General features: G+C 36.2%; 2 long non-coding RNA genes across 2 annotated transcripts in view; one reads left to right on the top strand and one right to left on the bottom strand.

Moving 5' to 3' along the window:
* Nucleotides 1-24,819, top strand: part of LINC00437 (long intergenic non-protein coding RNA 437) — a 154,676-nt gene that overhangs the window by 94,165 nt on the left and 35,692 nt on the right. The window lies entirely within an intron of this gene.
* On the bottom strand, nt 12,995-24,787 carry LINC00366 (long intergenic non-protein coding RNA 366). Its single transcript, NR_046999.1, has 4 exons — nt 24,716-24,787; nt 15,809-15,853; nt 13,678-13,782; nt 12,995-13,303 (listed from the first exon to the last, which is right to left on the bottom strand). It is a non-coding gene; the product is annotated as a long intergenic non-protein coding RNA 366 (long non-coding RNA).

Genomic DNA, 24,819 nt, shown 5'->3' with positions numbered 1-24,819 from the left:
AACCTTGCCACCAATTTGTTCTCTAGTTGCTATCGCTCATTTGTCTGAAAAATAAAATTAGGAAAAAACATCCTCTGAAAGTTGAGTGAAGTATTTGCTTTCCACACAAAACCAGGGTTAACTGGTTTTGTCTGGGTACAGGATGAAGTTTTAACTTTTTATGCATGAATGTAAGCAAAATATAACCAAGACACATTTGCATCCATTGCTAATCGTGAGAGCTTCTTTTAATTGCTCTTTCCAATGAAGCAGCCATCACAAAGTTCAGTGCCTTTTATTTTTCTGAGTCCATTGAAACATGGTTGATTGGTTAGTTTGGAAACTGAGTTTCTTGTATAAGAAAGTGTTTGTTTATCAGAGAATAGGAATCCAGAATTTTATCTGAAACATGGTTGATTGGTTAGTTTGGAAACTGAGTTTCTTGTATAAGAAACCGTTTATCAGAGAATAGGAATCTAGAATTTTATCTGAACCTGGTTGAATTTTTTAAAAGTTATGGACAAAATCTTGGGAAACATGTAATGAAGAATGATTATTTTTCTTAAGGTTTTAGAAAACCTAAGGGCAAAAGCCATAGAAAGAAGTATATATAGAAGACAGAAATAAAAATATAAAAGGGGGGGCTTAAGACAAAGAAATATTGATGCCTTGAGTAAAGTAGAGGTGTGTTTGCTGTGATGGAATGGAAATTAGATTTTGTTGAGTGCAAATGTTGGCTTTGATACTCTCTCACCATGAGATATTGAAAAAAAGTTATATAACTTCTCTGAGCCTCACTTTCCTCATCTGTGAAGTAGGTATAACAATACAAATGACTAGGATTATTGCAAAAATTAAAGCAGATGCCTTTACCTAAAGGGCCTAGTGTTGAGTCTGACATATTGGAGATGCTCAGTAGTGGTTTCTTTCCCTCTAGGAATGTTTTATTTAAGGTCATCAGAAGGCTATTAGCTTTTCACTGGCATCTAGTTATATATTAATTTTTAATTGTTATTCTAATTTGTGTTAAATTTAGCCAAATTTCTGTGAAGAAAGACCATAATGATCACATCAGGTATAGCAAACTGAGGCTCATTCCTTCCTATTTTTGGATGCTGTATATACAATAGCCCTGGCCTGAACCAGCCCCACACTATCACTGTGCTAGTGATAGGCAGGTGGAGCCCAGTGCCGGGCCAAAGTGCTTTGCTTTCTCATTTTGCCGATACCTTGATTAGTCAGCACACATTCCTGCCCAATCTCGTTGGAGATTTGAATTACACATTGTTTGTTAAATCTGATGCTTGGCCAAAGAGGTACTTAATGGCACTTATGAAAGAACTAACGATCAAATGACACAACCTTGCCAAAGCATCTTTATCTTTCTGGTGAGTGATATTTTAAGCCTAGATATGCTTCTGGTTCCTTTGAAGAGCTTGTACTCCATATAGGGCTTGCCTAAAATGACCATGTTTGAAGACTACGAATAATAGCTGGAAAGCTGAGGTTGCTTCATGTTGCTACCTTCCAGCCTAAGGGGAAGAGGGCTTACTTTGAAGTTGGGAATAAGTGCTGGTTGTTGAGAGCTGGTCTCTGCACAGAGTGTTCCAGAAAAACCCTACTTCAAATTCCATTCTTAACGTGTCAGTGAAACACATACTTTTATACTCTGCTATACTTATTTTATACTTAGCAAAAAATCCAATTATATATTTTTAAAATGTCAGAGAAACAGTAATTAGGTATGTGACATCATTTGTATTTTTCCAGTTTATTAATGATGAGAATACATTCTCAGAAATGCATCACTAGGGGATTTTGTCATTGTGAGAATATCTTGGGGTGCACTTACACAAACCTAGGTGGTATAGCCTACTACACACCTAGGCTATATGGAATAGCCTATTGCTTCTAAGCTACAAACCTGTGCAGCTTGTTACTTTACTGAACACTGTAGGCAATTGTAACACAATATAATAATTTTTATATCTAAACATAGAAAAGGTACAGTTAAAATATAAAAGGTTAAAAATGGCACACCTGTGTAGGGCACTTACCACGAATGGAGCTTACAGGAGAGTGGGAGTTGCTCTGGGTGAGTCAGCGAGTAAGTAGTGAATGAGTGTGAAGACCTAGGCCATTACTGTACACTACTATAGACTCTATAAACACTGTTCACTTAGGCTACCCAAAATTTATTCAATACAAAAATATTTTTCTTTCTCCAAAAATACATTAGCCTTAGCTTACTGTAAATTTTTAACCTTATAAGCTTTTGAATTTTTAAAAAATGTTTAAACTTTTCTGTAATAATGCTTAGCTTAAAACACAAACACATATAGTTGTATAAAAATTCTTTCTTTATATTCTTGTCCTATAAGCTTTCTTCTATTTTTAAGCTTTTATTATTTTTTACTTTTTAAACTTTTCTTACTAAACACTAAAACACAAATGCACACATAAGCCTAGGCCTACACAGGGTCAGGATCATCAATATCACTGTCTTCCGCCTCTACATCTTGTTCCACTGGAAGGTCTGCAGGGGCAATGACACCCGTGGAGCTCTCATCTCCTGTGATAACAATGCCTTCTTCTGGATGCCTCCTGAAAGAACTGCCTGAGGCAGTTTGATGCTTTTTTATAATTAGAAGGAATACATGCTAAAATAATGATTAAAAAGCATAATATAGTAAATACATAAACCATTAACGTAGTCACTTATCAGCATTATCAAGTATTATGTATTGTGCATAATTGTATGTGCTATACTTTTATACCATTGACAGTGCAATAGGTTTGTTTACACCAGCAACACCAAAAACACATGAGTAATGTATTATGCCACTGCATTAGGACAGCTACTACATCACTAAGGGATAGGATTTTTTGTCTTACAGGACCACTATCATACATGCGGTCCCATTTATTTATTTATTTATTCATTTATTTATTTTTGAGTCCGACTCTCACTCTGTCACCAGGCTGGAGTGCAGTGGTGCAATCTCGACTCACTGCAACCTCCGCATCCTGGGTTCAAGTGATTCTGCTGCCTCAGGCTCCCTAGTAGCTGGGACAACAGGTGTGCACCACCATGCCCAGCCAATTTTTGTATTTTTAGTAGATACGGGGTTTCACCATTTTGGCCAGGATGTTCTCAATCTCCTGACCTCGTGATCTGCCTGCCTCAGCTTCCCAAAATGTTGGGATTACAGGCGTGAGCCACCGTGCCCGGCCCATGGTTCTTCTTTGACCAAAACGTCATTATGCCACACGTGGCTGTGTATTAAAATGCATGCAGGAGAAAATTCAACTTTAATAATGTTGATGAAGTAAGTAGTTCACATACTTCAAAGAAAAAATAGACAAGTAAACAAACATAAATACAAAAATGAATAGGCAGGAGCCCCTTATCCCCTAGTTTATAGTCTGGTGAGGGAACAAAGACATGCCGAAACACAAAACAAAATTCAAGAAGAAATATAGCTGAGCTACATAGGTAGCATTAAAGACAGATGATTAAGTTCTTAATTTCCCCTGTGGGAACCAAGGAAAGCAAGCAGGAAGAGGTGAAATTTAAAGGAAAAGTTTGATTATATATAGGAGGTCATGAGTCAGATGGGCATGTGGTGGTGGGTAGTGAAGAGGGGACAATGTTCTAGGTAGAGGGGGGAAATGTCCAAAGTACATGTGGTCTTGAGAATATTAAGTAGTTAAGCAAGGCTATGAATAATGAAGGTTAATTGAGACTGAGAAATGGAAGATGAATACTATATGAATATTAAGATAAGATTGACAAATCATTTTCTAAGGTCTTAATTTCTAAATGGCTGGTCTTCTATGATGACTGGTAGAGGGGCTTCTCTGAGTAGAGAGTGTTAGGGGAAAGCCTCTGTTGTTAAAGCAAATAGGCTTTCTATACTGTAGATGTGTGGGCAGCTGCCCCCACCCACCTTACTTTAAGAGAAATTGACGTGGAGGTTGCCCTACTTAAAATCCTTGTGAACTTGCTTGTGTGCTTTTATTTTTATTTTTAAGTAATGAACTAGGACATTCCCTAAGTTAAGAATTAATGAGCCACTGTATTTCTTGTAAATATACTTTTTAGCTTTACCTCTTGATCTTGATGGTTGGTGAATATAAAGTATATGTTTTGTGTACATATGTGATATTGTTGGAATGCTGTTGTAATCACACCAATGCTAAATTAGCATTTGAGTGGCCATAGCGTGCAGTGCTATCCCTTAGGCCACAAGGTAATCCAAAAAGAGTTAACTTTTTAAAATTTTTTAGTCTGCATAATAATGTGCTAAGAATTTCATATGCAGTGTTGCATTCAAGTCTCACTGTTATCCTGTCATTTAAAATTGTTATTATATAGTTATTATGTATTATTCTCACTTTACAAATGGAGAAATTAAAGCATTGACAGGTTGAGTATTTGGCCACTGTCACACAGCTGGGATGAAACACAGCTGGAATTAAAACTCAAGTTTTTCTAACTCTAAAACCACAGTCTTAACTATTAAGTAGTGTGAAATTTTACTGTAACTTTTAGATGAAAATATAGCCACAAGAAGTGATTTTTTTTCCCCTTACAACATCATAACCAGTGGTCAGAGCTGGAACTCACTTCTAGGCTGCCTGACTCCAGATGCCATGTTCTTTACATGATGTGCCATATAAATGCATGGACAGCACAAGGAACAAATAAGCCCATAATTCAACAAGCAAAAACTATTCAAAATATGTTTCTTTTATCCTGAGTTCTATCAATGGATGGACCTAGTCATAAATCAGCTCTAAGATAATTATATTAGTCAGTGATACTCTTTATGAATGTGATAATATACTAAAATTATTCATAATCCTCCCATTTTCTATTTAGAAATTGTATTCTCAGAAAATCACCTCTATTTTAATCAATGTGTACATTCAAGTGATTCCAAGTAAAGTTGCAAAGATATTTTCAAAAAAATTGACAGCTATAATATTTGTATGGAGCCAGGCATGGTGGTGCACTCCTCTAGTCTCAGCTACTCAAGAGCTGAGGCAAGAGGAGTGTTTGACCCCGGGAGTTTGAGATCAGCCTTGGGCAACATAGCAAGCCCTCATCTCAAAAAAATAAAAAATAAAAAATAAAAAAATATGAAATTTCAAAGGACCTTAAAGAAAAGATGAATACAGTAAATAAGTATAAAATGTGAATATATGTTATATTAAAGAATCAAGACATAATAAAATATGATATGTAAAATGTTGTAATTTTATCCTGATTAAACAAATAAACTGGAGGATTTACTAAGAAATACACAAAAATTTTCGAACTTAACAGATGACAAAGCTGGATTTCAATTTTGTATCATTTTACTTTCTTTTTTTTTTTTTTTTTTTTTTTTTTACTTAAAAAACAAACACCTATGACAGAATGTCCATTGCTGGTAGTGTTAAGACTAGCTTGTTACAGGCCATTTCTTCACACTGGGAAAAACTAGAAAACCTCAGTAAAATATATTTTTTAAATTTTGTGCAGCTATCTGACAGCTACAAGGGAGCAAATAAGTGCTACCTTGAACAGGTGATAAGTTTACTGAGTTTTATTTCGCATAATGGCCAGACCAAAGGAGACGTATCTCCATTTTCATCGATAATTTTTATTTCCTTAAAAAGAGGATTTGATTTGTTCACAAGAGGCCCTCCTATTGCATGGGGTTTCAAACAGACTAGGTGGAAGTGGATGTCTTCTCTAGTACCAAATCCATCTGTAATTGCCTTAGGCAATGAAGGCATGAATCCTCAGTCAAATCATCCATGGCCAGAAATGCAAGTTTCATTTTGGATAATCTAAAGCCCAGCAATTTTGGCAGAGTAGAAACCATTTGAGCGTGTTTTTGAAGTTTCTTTTTTACAATTTTAGAGACTCTTCCTGAAGTACAATCAGCATGTGGTTAAAGCCAAGGAAACACAAATAAGCCATTTTCATTCTCATTCAAAACTTTTGTATAACTAAAAATATTTTATCTGGTTTGGCTCTGTGTCCCCACCCAAATCCCACCTTCAATTGTAATAATCCCCACATGTCAAGGGCCAGACCAGGTGGAGATAATTAAATCATGAGGGTGGTTTTCCCCCTACTATTCTTGTGATAGTGGGTGAGTTCTCATGAGATCTGATGGTTTTATAAAGGGCTTTCCTTTTTGCTCAACTCTCATTCTCTCTCCTGCTGCCCTGTGAAGAAGTGCCTTCCATTATGATTGTAAGTTTCCTGAGGCCTCCCCAGCCATGTGGAACTGTGAGTCAATTAAACCTTTTTTCTTTATTAAAAAAAAAAGAAATTGTATTTTCAACGATTTCTCTTTTAATCTTGTATTGCATTCTCATTGAGAAAGCTTGTAAGATGAAAACTTGAAAAGCAAATCGTCAGTGTAAATATCAGAGATATAAAATACATTTAAAGATTGGGTAATGTATTAATACATTCTCTACTGGGGATTGTTTCTGTAAATATCAGAATAAGGAAGCAATATGACATCTCAGCTATTCCAGGCATTGGAAAAGCAGCAAGATAAAAATAAAGAAGAATAGTAAATCATGTTTAGAGGCTTATAAATTTAATATCATTGATATATCACTGTTGTTCCATAGAGCTAATTTAACTGGGTAATATTGATCACTGGTGATTATACTTGTTATTCAAGACCCTAGTCTGTTTATGTTTTAAAAAGATCTCTTGAGTAAGACATCCTTAAAGATATATTAACAATAGCTACAACTTAATGTAGTTCAATATATACCAGGCACTACTGCAAGCCCTTTAATAATATTAATATATCGAATCCATTTAAGAACTGCATGCGGTAGGTATTATTATTTCTGTTTTACAAATGAGGAAACTGAAACAAAGAGAAATTAGCTTCACCGAAGTCACATATATAGAAAAATGGAGGTGCTAGGATTTTTGGAGGATTCCAAAATGGAGGACACACAGAATTTGGTTCTAGACTACAGGTTCTTAATCATTTTGTGTTTTTCCAGTAAATGGCAGTGTGGTTTAAAAAATCAGATTCAAGTTTGACAACTTGTTCAAATGAAGCTAAAATAAATTAAATGATGTATTGGTTCTAAATAGAATTTATATGAAAGCACAATAACATATTACCTTGCTGAAGTTTTACCAAACACACACACACACACACACACACACACACACACACACACACTACTCTCAATGTATGATTTTATTATAAAATATTTATTTGAGTACTACCCATTCTCGGTGATACTATACAACAGTTTTCTTTCTATTGCTTCTCATGAGAAGATACCATAGATGAGAAGTCAACCTAAAATTTACACAGCAACTCAAGTGTTTAACTCAGAAATTTAACATTCTCATGAGTTAAATTTGCACAGATGGCAGAAAAGGCCATCTGGTCACTTAAATTAAATACATCTTTTTCTACTTAAAATCATTTTTCACATACGTTGTTAATAACTCAGGACTCTCTTCTAAAGGGCTTTCCCTTCTCCTTTCTGGGGAAGGAAAAAACGTTGGGAAGCACTGTGGTAGCTGCTGTGAAGTGTCTGTGTCATCATTTCTCTTACTACTGAGATGTATCTCTCACATGGGCTTTTCTGTTGGTCTCTGTTCTGACAGCATGTGCTGCCGCTCTACTAGGACTCACATGTCCTTGGGAACTGCATCCATCACTGGTATCTTTGGTCCCATTCTTAGCCCCTTATGTTGGTCCTGACTTCCATACCTTTCTTGCCTGGACTCCACCTTCTCTCAATCGAAGGCCACTGTTATCTCTTTCTTGGCTCCTGCCGTAGCATGCAGGCAGCTCTGGATCTCTTCCCTGTCATATAGGCGGGGAACTAAGAGCAGCACCTCCAGCCCTCTCTCTACTGGCCTCTTGAAAGGATGCAACTAGGTACCTTCTAAGTGTAGTATGGGCATGGCCCCATACAAATCACCATGGGAATTTGAGTACCATATTAAAGTAGGACAGAAGAACTCCCAAGATCATTGGATATTTGTAGAAAATAGTTTTACAAGTTTGTCATTTGTCTATCTTTGCTTGTTTCGATCCCCACTCTCTCTACTATTTCATGTTTTTTCTTTATTTAAGTACACTTCTTGCCTTTCTTAGAAACATGTCATCTGTTGTATCTCAGAGTCTGTTACTAAGGTAAAATTACATGTGGATTATAACAGAAACTCTGAATCCAAGCTGCCAGTGTGCAAATCCCAGTTCCATGACAAGAATTCAATACACTTGGGTTAATTCCTTAATATCTCTGAGCCTCAGTTTCTTCATATATAAAATGAAACTAGTAATGGTTATAAGGTTGTTGTGAAGATGAAATAAGTTAATCTATTGAAGCACATTGAACAGTACCTGGCACGCTATCAAACATATCAGAAATGTTAACATCATTGAATATAATGTTCCCTCTTGTCAGAATGGTATTTTTCTTTTTTCTTTCTGTCTTTAAGATACACCTCAGTCTGTTTTTTTGTTTTTTTTAAGACAAAGTCTTGCTCTGTCACCCAGGCTGGAGTGCAGTGGTACAATCTCAGCTCATTGCAACCACCGCCACCCAGGTTCAAGTGATTCTTGTGCCTCAGCCTCCCGAGTAGAGAGGATTACAGGTGCACACCACCACGCCCTGCTAATTTTTGTATTAGTAGAGACAGGGTTTCACCATTGTGGCCAGGCTGGTCTCAAACTCCTGACCTCCAGCAATCCTCCCGCCTCTGCCTCCCATAGTGCTGGGATTACAGGCATGAGCCACTGTGCCCGGCACACCTCAGTCATTAAGATACATCTTAATCTCATATTTTTTCAGAAGACTGTCATGAATTTTACCTAAAGTTATTATGTTATGGCCCCATAAATATATAGCCCATAATATTTCTATGGTATTTGTGGTAGTTTATTCTAGTTGTTATTTTACTTATCTCCCCCATTAGGCTGACATAATTGAGAACATCATATTTATCTACATGTTTTCAGCATTCTGCACAAAGAATAGCAAATAATAGGCACCCATGAATATTTACTTAATGTATAAATGAGGTGAATTTCTCTTGCCCTCTTTCAGTTGAAAGTAGTAAGCACTCTCTTCTGTGGGGTCTACACATGCATGCTTGGAGGCATTGTCTCTGGGATGGGTAAACAATGTGCCAACAGCCGGACATAATCTGTCCTGCCCCCTCCTCCAACCTCTCCTAATCTGAGCCTTCCCCTCGCTCACTCTACCCTACCATAGTCACCTGTTCCTTGAAAATCCAGGCACTTTTCTCAGAGCCTTGGCGTTTTTTTCTTCTTCCTGCTTGAGATGCTCTTCTCTCAGGTATCTTCATGGTTTGCTCTTACATTTGACCCAGTTAGCTGCTTGAATGTCACAAAATTAGAGCGGTCTTCCCTGGCCACTTTACAGGAGATAGCACCTCTTCTCTACCCTTCCCGGAGACAACCCTCAAGTGTCATACTCTGCTTAATTATTTCTCCAGAGCATTTAACATGTCACTTGATACATTGGTTTATAGTCTATGTCCTTCCACCAGAATGTACACTTCATGATGCCAAGGATGTTGTCTGCTTTATTCATAGCTGTATCCTCAGCACTTAGAATGGTGCTCAGCAGATAGATGTTAAATGAACAGAGAGATGAAAGAATGAATGAAAAGTGAATGAATGAAACAAGACATGTAGATTGAGAGGATCTGACCATTTCTCCTATCTGAGATACCTTAGTGAGCGCCTGGCTTGCTACAGTCCTGCAGCAAGGCCTTAACTCTCCCCTGAGCACTGTGTCCTTATTCACAACTGAAATTTGAGGGCTAAACATTGGGCACATATAGACATAAAGATGGAAACAAGAGACACCTGGAAATATAAGAAGAGGGCGGAAGGGGGGTTGGGCAAGAGTTGATAAACTAACGCTGGGTACTATGCTCACAGCCTGGGTGACACATTCATTTGTACTCCAAACCTCAGCAACAGTCAATATACCTTTGCAACAAACCTGCACATGCACCCCCTGATTCTAAAATAAAAATTGAAGAAAATTATAATAAAGGAGGGACACCTTATCTCTGCTTTGTGTATCTGAGCTTGTCTTTTCCCCAGTGTCCTGTGATCTGTGGGGACACTGTGCTTCATATCTCTCCTCTAAATTTCTTTCTCCCGCCAGATGGCACTATGCTTCAATATTTAAAGCTACAGATATGGTGAACTCAGTTGTCTTTATTCTTCTCCAAGCTATGTGGACCTTTATACTTAATAAATGGGCTCCAGTTCCAAGATATGAAAATGTTAATGACATATGCTGAACTAACAGTCCTAACTGCTACTCCTGTAAAATAAAAAGCAGCCGAGCTATATTATGCTTTATGAAATATTTATAACTGCCAAACACAAAGGCAGTAAGAACATTGGTTTATACAGCAAAAGCCCAAAGAAACTCTATTTAAGTGAAGATTAATGTGGAAATGTTATCACATTCTCACACTGCAAAACTAAATTGATATAGAGGTGATAAATGTGGATAGACGTGGAATATACATATAGGCACACATTATACATTTTACCTGATAAAATATACCAGCTGAATTTGCCTAAGGAAGCTGCTAAAGTCAGATTTGATGCAAACGATTTGTGGAAGTTACCTTGTGGGGCAGCCCAACTGCTAGAACATTTCATGGAAGTTCTATATTGATGGAAGAGAAATTTGTAATTATTTCTCCTAAATAAGGAGAGAGGCCCATTAGGTGTGGGATTTTGCTGTTCTCTTTCAAATTTGAATAGATATACAGAAGGTATGTAGAAATCAACATGATTCTTTTCCTTTATTCACATATAATTGTAAATAACATGGGTAATACAATTTCCAAATCTTTTATTTACTTAAAAATGTTGTTAAAGTAGTTGGAATGGTTCCTAGATTTTAATATAATAACATATTCCACAGGCAGCAATTTGAAAATCTTTGAGAAGTTTAAAAAATATCTGGCTTACAATCATCTCATTAAGGTATAAAATCAGGGCTTCTTGGAACCTTTAAATTATATTTTATCTGATTGTTATTCTCAGATCTACAGTTTTTTAAAAGACAAGTCTCTGGTTCCTTATAGATCTCTCTATCAGCTTCCCTCCATGCACATTTGGCTCATGAATGTATGAAATACTTTGGACGTATTTCTATTAACTACTATTGCTTTCCTGGGGAAAAATACATTATAGTTCTCTTTTATTTAGATTAATGAGTTTTAGGTTAATCTGTCGTGAATCCTCTGTAAATCAGATTCTTGATAGTTAATAATATTTCATCTTTGTATATTTAAAATCAGTTCACATGTTAAGTTAAAGATGAAAAAGAGAACTAAATCAGCAATATTGTTATGACATAATGCATAAATTAATGTGCATGTATGTCTGCTTTAAGTTTAGTTTATAGAAGTTTTAAAAAATGAAAATTGGCATTTTTCTACAAAGAATGATGGATTTTTTTCACTTGTAAAAACATTTATTATTATTATTTTTTTCATTCCAACTTTTACTTTAGGATCAAGCGGTACCTGTGCAGTATTGGTACAGGGGTAAATTGCATGTCTCAGGGGTTTGGTGTACAAATAATTGTGTCATCCAGGAAATCGGCATAATACCCAATAGGTGGTTTTCAATCCTCACCATCCTCTCAGTCTCTACCTCAAATAGACCCCAGTGTCTATTGTTCCCTTCTTTGTGTCCATGTGTGATGGTCAACCTGATTGGATTAAAGGATACAAAGTATTGATCCTGGGTGTGTCTGTGAGGGTGTTGCCAAAGGAGATTAACATTTGAGTCAGTGGGCTGGGGAAGGCAGGCCCATCCCTAATCTGGTGGGCAGAATCTAATCAGCTCTCCAAGAATATAAAGGAGGCAGAAAAACCTCAAAGGCGAGACTTGCCTAGCCTCCCAGCCTACATCTTTCTCCCGTGCTGGATACTTCCTGCCCTCCAACATCGGACTCCAAGTTCTTCAGTTTTGAGACTCGGACTGACTCTCCTTGCTCCTCAGCTTGCAGACAGTAGATTGTGGGACCTCATTTTTGTGTAAGTTAATACTTAATAAACCCCTTTTCTACTTAATACTTTTCTTTCTTTCTATCTATCTATTATCTATCTATCTATCTATCATCTATCTATCTATCTATCTCCCTCTCTCTATCTCTTATTAGTTCTGTCCCTCTAGAGAACCCTGACTAACACACCATGTATACTCAGTGTTTATCTCCCACTTACAAGTGAGAACATGTGGTATTTTGTTTTCTTTTCATGTGTTAATTCGCTTAGGATTACGGCCTCAGTTCCATCCATGTTGCTGCAAAGGCCATGAAGAAAATAATGTTAATGACATTTAACCTCCCAACATGTATCTCTTCTTTTTCTTTTTCTTTGGGAAATTTTTTGTTTGTTTGTTTTTTAGAGACAGGGTCTCTCTCTGTCACCCAGGCTGAAGTGCAGTAGCACCATCATAACTCCCTGCAGCCTAGAACTCTTGGGCTCAAGTCATCCTCCTACCTCTGCCTCTGGAGTAGCTGGGACTTCAGGCATGCACCACCATGCACAGCTTTTTTTCTTTGACAGCACTTATTGTGTAAACCATGCATGCTGGCCCTTGATTATTCTATATTATCATTGCATTTTGTAGTAAGGCTTTACCCATGATATGATATGTTTGGATTTACTGACATGTCACTTTTTTTAATGCTGAGTATTTGTCTTAGTCCATTTAGTGTTGCTATAAAGGAATACCTGCAACTGGGTAATTTATAAAGGTCAGAGGTCTATTTGGCTTACGATTCTGCTGGCTAGAAGATTGGGCATTTGATGAAAGCCCCAGGCTGCTTCCATGGCATGACAGGAAGCAAGAGAGATGGGAGGTGCCAAGCTCTTTTTTAACTACCAGCTCTGGAGGGAACTAATACATCGAGAACTCACTCCCATTCATGAGGGATCCACTTCCATGACCCAAACACCTCCACGCAGGCGTCACCTCCAACACTGGGGATCAAATTTCAACATGAGGTACGAAGAAGTCAAATATCCAAACCATAACAGAATCACTATTTGTAGATTATGAAACATTCCTATTACGAATAATTAGAAAGGAGAAAACTATACATTGAGAGAGTAAAAAGAAGGTAAAGAAGATGGCAGGGGCCCAGGTGCGGTGGCTCACCTTTGTAACCCCAGCACTTTGGGAGGCTGAAGCAGGTGGACAACTTGAGGTCAGGAGTTTGAGATCAGCCTGTCCAACATGGTGAAACCCTGTCTCTAGTAAAAATACAAAAAAAAAAAAAAAAAAAATTAGCCAGCTATGGTGGTGCATGCCTGTAATCCCAACTACTCAGGAGGCTGAGGTGGGAGGATGGCTTGAATCCTGGAGGCGGAGGTTACAGTGAGCGGAGATCATGCCACAGCACTCCAGCCTGGGCGACACAATGAGACTCCATCTCAAACAACAATAACAACAATGACAACAACAACTTGATGGTAGGGAACAAGTAGAATATTTAGCAATGAAGCCTTGTGGATATTAAATAACAGAATACAGAACAGATGAGAGCTTTGGGCCCAGGCCTTAAGAATAAACGGTTGGTGTCTAGAGGAGAGAAGGAGCCGAGGAGATATATTTCAAAAAGGCTCACCCAGGCAGATTCTGACAAGAGCGGTTTGGAGAGATCATCTCTAAGCCTTTTGGCTAAGATCAAGTAAAGAGTGGTAGTTCGAATGTAGGAAATTCAGCTCCTATGCTATAAAATAGGAAACACATTGAACATATGTATAGACAATTATCCAAATAGTGGATTAGCAACAATTAAAGGAAATTAATTTACAATCACCTAAACAGTTAAGGGGTAAGAGCAATTAGCTTTAATTAATTAGCAACCTACTAAGTTCAGTGTTTTTGCCAAATCTATAAATGCTACTTGAAATAAACAACTTATAACCATTGGTTCAATTTAGAATCACACATGTTAGGCACAAGAAGTTGAGTGGAAATCCTCAAGGAGAAAAATTAAAATACGCATGATGACTGTCTCACGATGATATGGTGCAGCCTAATGCAACCCTAATGCATGGTCAGAAGACTCCCTTGCAAGGACATTTAATTGACTGATCCTTTGATAGGAGATTAGTTTTCCTTGTACCAATAGAAATCTGTTGGATTCTCAAACCTGTTCTCACTGACATAGTAAGAAAACAGTTTATTACTACATTATATTGATGCTGTGAAAAAGGTTACCCTAATATAATAAAATTTAAAATTCTCCCATTTAGAACTGAACTTTGTTTTGATGGAGCAACAATTTATAAAAATGATGACTGACTTTTGTTAGCTTTGGAAAATGGGATAGTTACACTAAAAACTTGGGGTTGAAATACTCTAAAGGAGCTTCAAGTATTCCAGTGACAGAAAAAAAATCTATTTTTGAACACATTTTTAATTTTTCAGGGTGAAAAATTTTGGGGGGATTTTAAATTCTCTGTAGGATAGAAATATACTTAATAACTGGAGAGCATTTGTACTGATACCTTATTAAAGAAAGGTGAACCTTTTTCTCTGTATCATGTTGCTAGCGCTGTAGCATATGGGTTCAACTCTGATTTAACGGTCATTATAAAATTATGTTTTGTGAACTTAGTTGAATGTTATAAAAGAACGTAGTACTACAACATTACAATTAGAATAGGAACAACTCAGCATTCTCTGTTACATGAGGAATCAAAGAGAAATTGGAAGTCTGCAACCCAGAAGAGGACCCTCACCAGAAGTTGACTGTGCTGACACTCTGGTCTAGGAATTCCAGCCTCCAGAACTGCAGAACGTCACCCCCTGTTATTCATGCACCATCTCCACTTTATTGGAAATGTTCTTGACCAGCAATGGAAAAGAAAGAACATACTGCGGTTTTGTTTGTTGTGGGGCTCAGGCTTTCTCTGAGCACTGCATAAGTACGTGGTTCATGGGAAAAGGGTCTGATAGAGAATGGGGCTCAGGCTTTCTCTGAGCACTGCATAAGTACGTGGGTCATGGGAAAAGGGTCTGATAGAGAATGGGGCTCAGTTGAATCACTTTGGCTGAAGAGATGTAACAAATCATAGACGTAAAGTCAACACCCTTCCTATTTTACAAAGGAGAAAACCAAAGCTCTGTAAGTGCTATCCGGTCTCAGGACCCAAGAGCCATGGTGAGGTCTGGTTTCAGCTCTGCTAGTATTGGACAGCTCTCGTGAGCCCTCTTCAGGAACTGCTGACATACCACTTTCTTTCTAAAGCTTTGACCTCCACATGCCCCTTAGTTCTTAGGAAGATGGAATTCAACAGAAAAAGAAAGGGAATAAAAGAATATTGTTCCTTGACCCTTTGGATAATCTTTCAGGGGAAATAATTAAGAGTCATTCATAACTGTTGGAGAAGATGTGTGTATGTCTGTATCTTACTAGTCCCAAGAAGATATATAGACAGAAAGCGAAAGTGACAGAAAGTTTTCAGTGGGACTTCTCTAGTACTATATTCCATTGATCTTACTTGAGTGGAATAGCTGTGTTCCTAGTTAACCATATACAAACAACATCCCAGGGAATATTGGTTTCTAGGAAAGGAATTCTATACACCTTTCTCCTCACTTAACCCCTTTTGTCTTCCTACCTGCCTAATTTCACCAAGAAGAGATCTAGATGTCAGAACATGGGCTGATTGACTATATTTTCTAAGAATAAAATTTTATAAGGAGAATTATTAATATATCTATACTAACTAAACACATCCACTTACCTGTTTTTCTGGTACTCTTGGATATAGTCTTTTATAGGATTTGAGCTGTGAATAGACAAAGAAGATCATTTGTCCAGCTTTGGTTTTAGTTTTTCTAGGACTGCATTGCACAAGCCTTTTCCCAGGGTGCATCCTAGCAGCTTAGCTCTTCAAATCTCAGCATTGGTATGTGGGGCTGCTGTTCAGCAAATAATAAAAATTTAGTTGTTTTGTCATCTGGACCTGCATTGTTCTTGAGTGAATGGTTGTCTAGGTGGTTCTGAAACTCTTGACTTCTCTAACTATGATCTTACCACTATCATAATAACACTTCTTTATTCTACCTTCATTTAATTGTTTGAAATGATAAGGCCAGTTAATACATTTCCTGATATCTAGTAGGCCCCTGAGAATACACTCAAATACATACAAAGCTTCTTCCATGGAATACGGCCCTTTGGGGGTCATAATATTACACTATGAGCGCTGATAATCTTTCTGTCTGAATATTAGTGCGGACCACAACAATATTGGAGGACAATCCTGGCTTTGCCTCTGGATGCTCTCCCATCCCAAACTTTGTGTGGGTGACTTTCTAATGAGATGTGTGCCTTTGTAAGGCTGCAACCTTTGCAAGAGAATGTCAATGCTATACCCAGCTTTTCTGGCTCTTTAAGCATGCATTCTATGCTTAGCCAGCAATTTGAATAGTTTTATTTGAGCCAGTTTTTCTAGTGGTCGGTGCTTAATATGTCTTTAATTAATACCAAAAGCTCAACTAAGAGAATTAGTATTTATGGAAGACTAAAGAAAAAGCAGACCACCAATTACACTAAAATTAAATTTTAAAGACTTACTATTGTTTTTAATTAAAAATTGTTTTCAAGCAAACTTCATGCAGCCCTCTAAGAATTAAAAGTTGATTGTTTTCTGCCTGGAAGCCAAGATCCTCCACTAGAACACATTTTGAAAACCATTGCTATAGTGACTCTCAATTTTCTCATTGTATTGTTCAGAACAACAGACTGCTACAGAGGTGGACAAAATTGTTCTGGCTTCCTGTCGAACAGCTTTTATTGAACTACACATTGCCAAGATTATATGGGTTTACACTGAGAGATAAGAAACAGCCTTGTTTTTGTTGTTGAAATTCCTATGCATTATATTGCATGGCTTGTTATGCATTAGTACCTAAGGTTTAAGTTTCTTTCCATTCTTGTAATAGGAAAGAGTTTGTTTATATCTTACGGATTCTGTAGATTACATCACTGATTATATCTCTGGAAGGCATAGAGGCATATTTCTGATTCTTCTGTAAAACCTAAGTAGGATTTGATGGTTTGTAGTAACCTAACTTTTGACTATAATATGTCCTTGATGTTTTCCTTTTGCTTCTGTAGGTTTTTCTATTTTTTGCTGAGCTACTTTTTAATGCAGTCATGAACTGCATGACAATATTTGATCAATGATGGTAGTCCTATTATAATACCATATTTTCACTGTAGCATTTTAATTTTAGATATGTTTAGATACACAAATGCTTACCATACTGTTACAATTATCTCTAGCATTCAGTACAGTAACATGCTATACAAGTTTATAGCCTGGGAGCATTGGCTCATATAGCCTAAGTGTGTAGTGGGCTATACCTTCTAGATCTGTGTAAACATACTCTATAATGTTCACACAACAACAAAATCCCCTAACCACACATTTATTGGAAGGTATCCTCATCTTTCAGTGATGCATGACTTTTTTATGTGTTAGGATCGGTTTCCAATGTTTTCAGCAACACCACCCTGAATCATACAATATGATCTGAGTATGTGTGTGTGTGTGTTTATACATATACATATGTTTGTGCATGCACCCATATATGTTATATATATTTATTAAATATACATATATATTATATACACATTATATCCATTTATATAAATCTATACAGATGTTTATATACAAAGAAAAGTTCAAAACATTGATCATTGTAATCTATGGTAATAACATTATAGATATGCTTGGTATACTGTTTTATGTTTCCTAAATTGCATTCAATGATATATTTTATTTTGAATCAGAAAAAAGTTAAAATTATAGAAATTTAAATAATACATAATTTAAAATTCTGAATACTATAGGGAAAGAGTAAACTTAACATTTTTCTAGGTAGTTATCTAATTTCTCAGAATTATTTTTGAAAAAAGCCATCATTTCTCTGTTAATATAAAATGCCACCTTTATTATAGACTAATTTCCTATCATTTGTCAGATGCTAGCATTATTTAGTCCAACATTGATTCCCTGTTTCCTTCTTAGAAATATGAGTGTTAATTTTTAGCTAGGTAAATAACGTACAAATGAAACTATGATTTCCTGCCTTCTTTATGGCAAGATGTGGTCACATGTCTAGGTTCTGGCCAATGAAATGCCATCAAGATTACCAAGTGGGCCACAGGGGAAGGCTGATTAAAGGGAACTCATTCATTGAAGAGGAATTCCTTTTTTACTCCTTTGGCTTTACTTTTCCTTCTGCCCTGCAGTGTGGAAGTGATGGATGGGTTCCAGCAAATGTATTGGACTAAAACATAACCCAGAGGGTAGAAGCCACACTTAGGATGGAACTATACACCAAAAATATCCAGGTGGAAAGCTTCAGTTATTGATGAACTTGGAGCTGTCTTGCCAGCCCTAAACTATCCGCCTCCAGACTTCTTTTATGTAAAATATAAATATGTAGATTCTATTTATACCTTTGTTCTTTGGAGTTTTTCTTTTATTTCTAGCCTTTGAACTTCTTCCAATCAGTATGGGCTATCTTATTTTAATTATTGAAGCACTTTAATGCATCTTAATAATTGGAAGTGTACTCTCCTTTACATTTATTTTGAAGGATTTAGCCTCATTTTTTTCAATTAAACAAGCTTCAGTAACATTTTTGTATTCACAAGACATTTTTCAGCTATTTTTATCATAATTATATTACACTTAGGCCATATTAATTACACAGGATGAGAATGTTTACACCATTAAGTTCTACTCCAGTGTTATAATATGCGTCTTCATTTGCTAGTCTTTTTTATATGCCACAATAAACTTTTTGTAGTTTACTTTGTCTGGATTCTGCGCATTTCTTTATAAATTTATTGTAATCTATTTATAACTTTTGTTGTTACTATGAGAAAAGTATTTTTACTCACTGTTTTCAAACATTATTATCGGTACATTGAACACTGTGAAGTTTGGAAATCGGACATTTTTCTGAATTCACTTTTGAGTTTTAATCACGTTTTTGTTGGTTTTCTTAGTTTTCCTTAGTAGGCAATAACATAATGTGAAAATTATGATTTCTGCTATTTATTGGCCTGGATTATTTATTAGTATTGCATCGATTATAATGTCTTGATAATATACATTTAATAAGACTGGTAAAAGAAATACACTCCTAATGTTTCTGACTTTAAAAATAGTTGCAATTTTTCACCATCAAGTGTTATCTTGGTTTTGATAAAATTTTTATTATATTGGAGATTGTTCTGTAGTACACTACCATGTCTTCATTTGTGCTGAATTAAAAGAAAAATATTCTATAATGTGGTTATTAGCATTCTCTTGGAAGTTCTACTAGATGGATTTTTTTGAGAATTAAAAAAATATATTTATGAAGTAAAGATCTAGCCTATTCAGATATCTATCATTTTTTTTTCACCTTTTATTTTAGTTTTGGGGGTAGATGTGCAGGTTTGTTACATTGGTAATTACATATTAGTGAGGTTTGGTGTACAAATGATCCTGTCACACAGGTAGTGAGCATGGTACCCAATAGGAAGCTTTTCAACCCTTGCCACCACCTCACCCTTCCCCATCTGGTAGTCCCTTAGCGTCTATTGTTCCCACCTCTATATCCTGTGTACTGAATTTTTAGCTCCCACTTAGAAGTCAGAATATGTGATATTTGGTTTTCCATTCCTGTGCTAATTTGCTTAGGATAATGACCTCCAGCTGCATCCATGTTACTGTAAAGAACATGATTTCATTCTTTTTATGGCTGCATAGTACTCCATGGTGTATATGTATCATATTTTCTTTATACAGTCCACCACTGGTGGGCATCTTGGTTGATTCCATGTCTTTGCTATTAAAAATAGTGCTGTGATGAATGTACACATCCATGTCTTTTTGGTAGAACAATTTATTTTCCTTTTGGCTCTATACCCAGTATTGGGATTGCTGGGTCAAATGGTAGCTCTGTTTCAAGGTTTTTTTTTTTTTTTTTTGAGAAATCTCCACACTACTTTTCACAGTGGTTGAAGTAATTTATATCTCCACCAACATTATATAAGCATTCCCTTTTCTCCAAAACCTTGCCGACATCTGTTATTTTCTGACATTTTAATAATAGCCTTTCTGACTAGTGTGAGATGGTATCTCTTTGAGCTTTTGATTTGCATTTCTCTGATGATCAGTGAAGTTGAGCATTTTTTCATGTAGTTTTTGGACACATGCATATTTCCTTTTGGGAAATTTCTGTTCATGCTCTTTGCCTGTTTTTTAAGGGGATTACTTGTTTGTTCTTGATGAATTGTTTAAGTTCCTTTTAGATTCTCTATGTTAGACCTTTGTTGAATGCACAGTTTGCAAATATCTTCTCCCATTCTGTAGGATGTCTGTTTAATCTGTTGATAATTTTTTTTTTGCTGTGCAGAAGCTCTTTAGTTTAACTAGGTCCCACTAGTCAATTTTTGTTATTGTTGCAATTGCTTTTGGGAACTTTGTCATAAATTCTTTGCCAAGTCTGATGTCCAGAATGACATTTACTAGCTTTTTTCTATGATTTTTATAGTTTTGGGTATTACATTTAAGTCTTTAATCCATCTTCAGTTAATTTCTGCATAGATCTAGTCAGCTTTTCTAACACAATTTATTAAATAGGGAGTCCTTTCCCCATTGCTTCTTATTGTTGACTTTGTCAAAGATCAGATGGTTTTAGGTGTTCAGCTTTATTTCTGAGTTCTCTAATTTGTTCCATTGGTCTATGTTGTCTGTTTTTGTACCAGTACCATGCTATATTGGTTACTGTATCCTTGTAGTGTAGTTTGAAGTTGGGTAGTGTGATGCCTGTAGCTTTGTTCTTTTATGTAGACGTGTTTTTGTTATTCAGGCCTTTTTTTGGTTTCATATAAATTTTGGAACAGTATTTTAAAATTATGTGAAAAATGTCATTGGCAGTTTGATAGGAATAGCATTGAATCCATAGACTGCTTTGGGCAATATGGCAATTTTAACAATATTGATTCTTCCGATGTATGAACATGAGATTTTTTTCCATTTTTTTTTTTATCATCTGTGATTTCTTCAGCAGTTTTGTAGTTCACCATGCAGAGATCTTTCATCTCCTTGGTGTATTCCTTTCATCTCCTTAGATGTATTCCTAGTTATTTTTTCTATTTTAAATGGGATTGAATTCCTGATTTGGCTCTCAGATTGAATGTTATCGGCATGTCAAAATACTACTGATTATTGTACATTGATTTTGTATCCTGAAATTTTACTGAAATTGTTTATCCATTCTAGGAGCCTTTTGTTGGAGTCTTTAGGATTTTGTAGGTATAGAATCATATCATCAGTGAAGAGTGATAATTTGACTTCTCCTTTTCCTATTTGGATGCCTTTTATTTCTTATTTCTTTCTCTTGCCTGATTGCTTTGGCTAGGACTTCCAGTACTACATTATAGAGGAATGGTGAGAATGGGCATTATTGTCTTGTTCTAGTTCTTAAGTGGAACGCTTCCAGCTTTTTCCTGTTCAGTATGATGTCAGCTGGGTGTTGGTCATAGATAACTCATTATTTTGGGGTGTGTTCCTTCCTTGCCTATTGTGTTGAAGGTTTTTATTATGAAAGCATGTTGGATTTTATCAAAAGCTTTTTCAGCAGCTTTTGAGATTATCAGGTGGTTTTGTTTTTAATTCTGTTGATGTCATGAATCACATTTATTGATTTATGTATGTTGAACCAGCCCTTCATCCCAGGAATAAAGCCTACTTGATTGTTGTGAATAAACTTTTTGATATGCTGCTGGATTTGGTTTGTTAATATTTTGTTGAGGATTTTTGCATCTTTGGTCATTAGGGATATTGGCCTGTAGTTTCATTTTTTTCATAGTGTCTTTGCCAGATTTTGCTATCACAATGATGACGTCTTTGTAGAATGAGTTAGGGAGGAGTCTCTCCTCCTATATATTTTGGAACCGTTTTAGTACCACAGTGACCATCTCTTCTTTGTATGTCTCACAGAATTCAGCTATGAATCCATCTGATCCAGGACTTTTTTTGATTGGTACATTTTTTGTTATGGATTAAATTGTGAAATTTAATATTGATGTGTTCAGGGCTTTGATTTCTTTCTGACTCAGTTTTGGGAGGTTGTGTGTTTCTGGAAATTTATCCATTTCCTCTAAATTTTCTAGTTCATGTGCACAGGGGTCTTCATAATTGCCTCTTAGGGTTTTTGTATTTCTGTGGGATCAGCTGTAATATTGTTTGTCATTCCTGAGTGCACTTATTTGGATTTTCTCTTTTTCTTTGTTAATCTAGCTAGCAGTCTATCAATCTTGTTTATTCTTTCAAACTACCAGCTGTTGGCTTTGCTAATTCTTTGTATGACTTTTTTGCTTATAGTTTTGTTCAGTTATGCTCTGATTTGGTTATTTCTTTCCTTCTTCTAGCTTTGGGGTTACTTTTTTGTTTTTCTAGTTCTTCTAGGTGGGATGTTAGATTGTTAATTTGAGATCTTTCTAATGGCTTCACATAGGCATTTAGCACTATAAACTTTCCTCTTAAAACTGCTTTAGCTGTATATCAGAGATTTTGGTATGTTGTGTCTCTGTTTTCATTAATTTCAAAGACTTTTAAAGTTGCTGTCTTAATTTTATTGTTTACACCAAAGTCATTCAGAAACAAGTGTTTAATTGCCATGTAATTGTGTGTTCTTCAGAGATCTTCTTGGTATTTATTAGTATTTTTTATTTTTTTTGAGACAGGGTTCCACTCTGTTGTTGAGGCTGGCTAGAGTGCAGTGATGTGATCTCAGCTCACTGCAACCTCCGCCTCCCAGGTTCAATGGATTCTCCCACCTCAGCCTCCGGAGTGGCTGGCACTCCAGGCATGTGCCATTATGCCTGGCTAATTTTTGTATTTTTTGGTAGAGACAGGGTTTCACTGTGTTGGCCAGGCTTGTCTCAAACTCCTGACCTTAAGTGATCCGCTCACCTTGGCCTCCCAAAGTGTTGGGATTACAGGCATGAGTCACCGTGCCTGACCTTGATTTGTATTTTTTTCCACTGTGGTTCAAAAGTATGGTTGGTATGATTTTGATTTCTTTAAATTTATTGAGACTTGCTTCAAGGCCAAGTATGTGGTCAATCTTACAGTATGTTTTGTGTGCAGATGAGAAGAATGTATATTATGTGGTGGATGGGTAGAGTGTTCTGTAGATATCTATTAGGTCCATTTGGTCAAGTATCCAATTTAAGTCCAGAATCCCTTTGTTAGTTTTCTGCCTCGGTAATCTAACACTGTCAGTGGGGTATTGAAATCCCCAACTATTATTGTGTGAATGTCTACATCTTTTTGTAGTTGTAGAAGTATTTGTTTTGTGTATCTGGTTGCTTCAATGTTGGGTGCTTATATATTTAGGATAGTTAGGTCATCTTGTAGGATTGAACCCTTTATCATTATGTAGTGTCGTTCTTTGTTCTTTTTTTACTGTTGTTGGTTTAAAGTCTATTCTATCTGACATAAGAATAACTACCCTCGCTCCTTTATGTTCCATTTGTATGATAGATCTTCATCCAACCTTTACCTTGAGTCTATGGATGTCATTACATGTGACATGGACCTCTTAAAAATTGGAGATGGATGGGTCTTTTTATTTTTTAATGTAACTTGCCACCCTATGCCTTTTAAATGAGGCATTTAGACTGTTTACATTCAGGGTTAATATTGATACTTGAAGTTTTGATCCTATCATGAAGTTTTTTGTTGGATGTTTTGCAGTCTGTATTGTGCAGTTGCTTTAAATGGTCTGTGGGCTGTGTACTTAGGTGTGGTTTCCTGGTAACAGGTATTGTTTTTCATCTCCGTATTCATAACTCTTCTAAGGATCTCTTGTGAGGCTGGTTTAGTGGTAATGAATTCTCTTAGCAATGCCTTGGCTGAAAAAGATTGTATTTCTCCTTCATGTATGAAGCTTAGTATGACAGGGTGTGAAATTCTTGGTCAGAGTTCCTTTTCTTTGAGATGCTGAAAATAGGCCCCTACTCTCTTCTAGCGTGTAGGGTTTCTGCAGAGTAGTTTTTCTTAGCCTGTTGGGGTTCCCTTTTTTTGTGATCTGACCTTTTTCTCTAGCTGCATTTAAGATTTTTTTCTTTAGCATTGACATTCTGGTGACTATATCCCTTGGTGATGTTTGTTTTGTATAGTATCAGTAAGGTGGTCTCTGAATTTCTTGTATGTGCATGTCTAACTCTCTATCAAGATTAGGGCAATTTTCTTGAATTTTGTCCTCAAATATAATGTTTACTAGGTTGTTTACTATCTCTTCTTATCTCCCAGGCATACTAATAATTCATAGGCTTGATTGCTTTTCAAATCCCATATTTCTCAGAGGCTTTATTCATCTATTCTAATTCTTTTTTCTTTATTTTTATCTGACTGGTTTAGTTTGAAAGACTGATCTTCAAGCTCTGAAATTCTTTCTTCTGCCTGGTCTATGCTACTAAAAAATATGCTTTCAATTCTGTTTTGAAATCCCTTCAGTTTTTCAGTTCCAGTGGCTTTGATTGATTTTGTTTTAAAATGTTTTCCTCTATCCTTATTTCCTGGATTGCTTTAGAAGTTTTTTTCTGTTTGTGTGTTGATTTGCAATCTTACCTTGAATTGCACTGAACTTGCCTGCAATCCATGCTCTGAATTCTCCATCTGCATCTCTGTGCCTCCTTTTCTGCTAGGGACCATTGCTAGAGAGCTACTGTGAG

The sequence above is a fragment of the Homo sapiens genome, chromosome 13 (assembly GCF_000001405.40).
Source record: "Homo sapiens chromosome 13, GRCh38.p14 Primary Assembly".
Lineage (NCBI taxonomy): Eukaryota > Metazoa > Chordata > Mammalia > Primates > Hominidae > Homo > Homo sapiens.
This window is presented reverse-complemented; position numbering and strand designations above follow the sequence as displayed.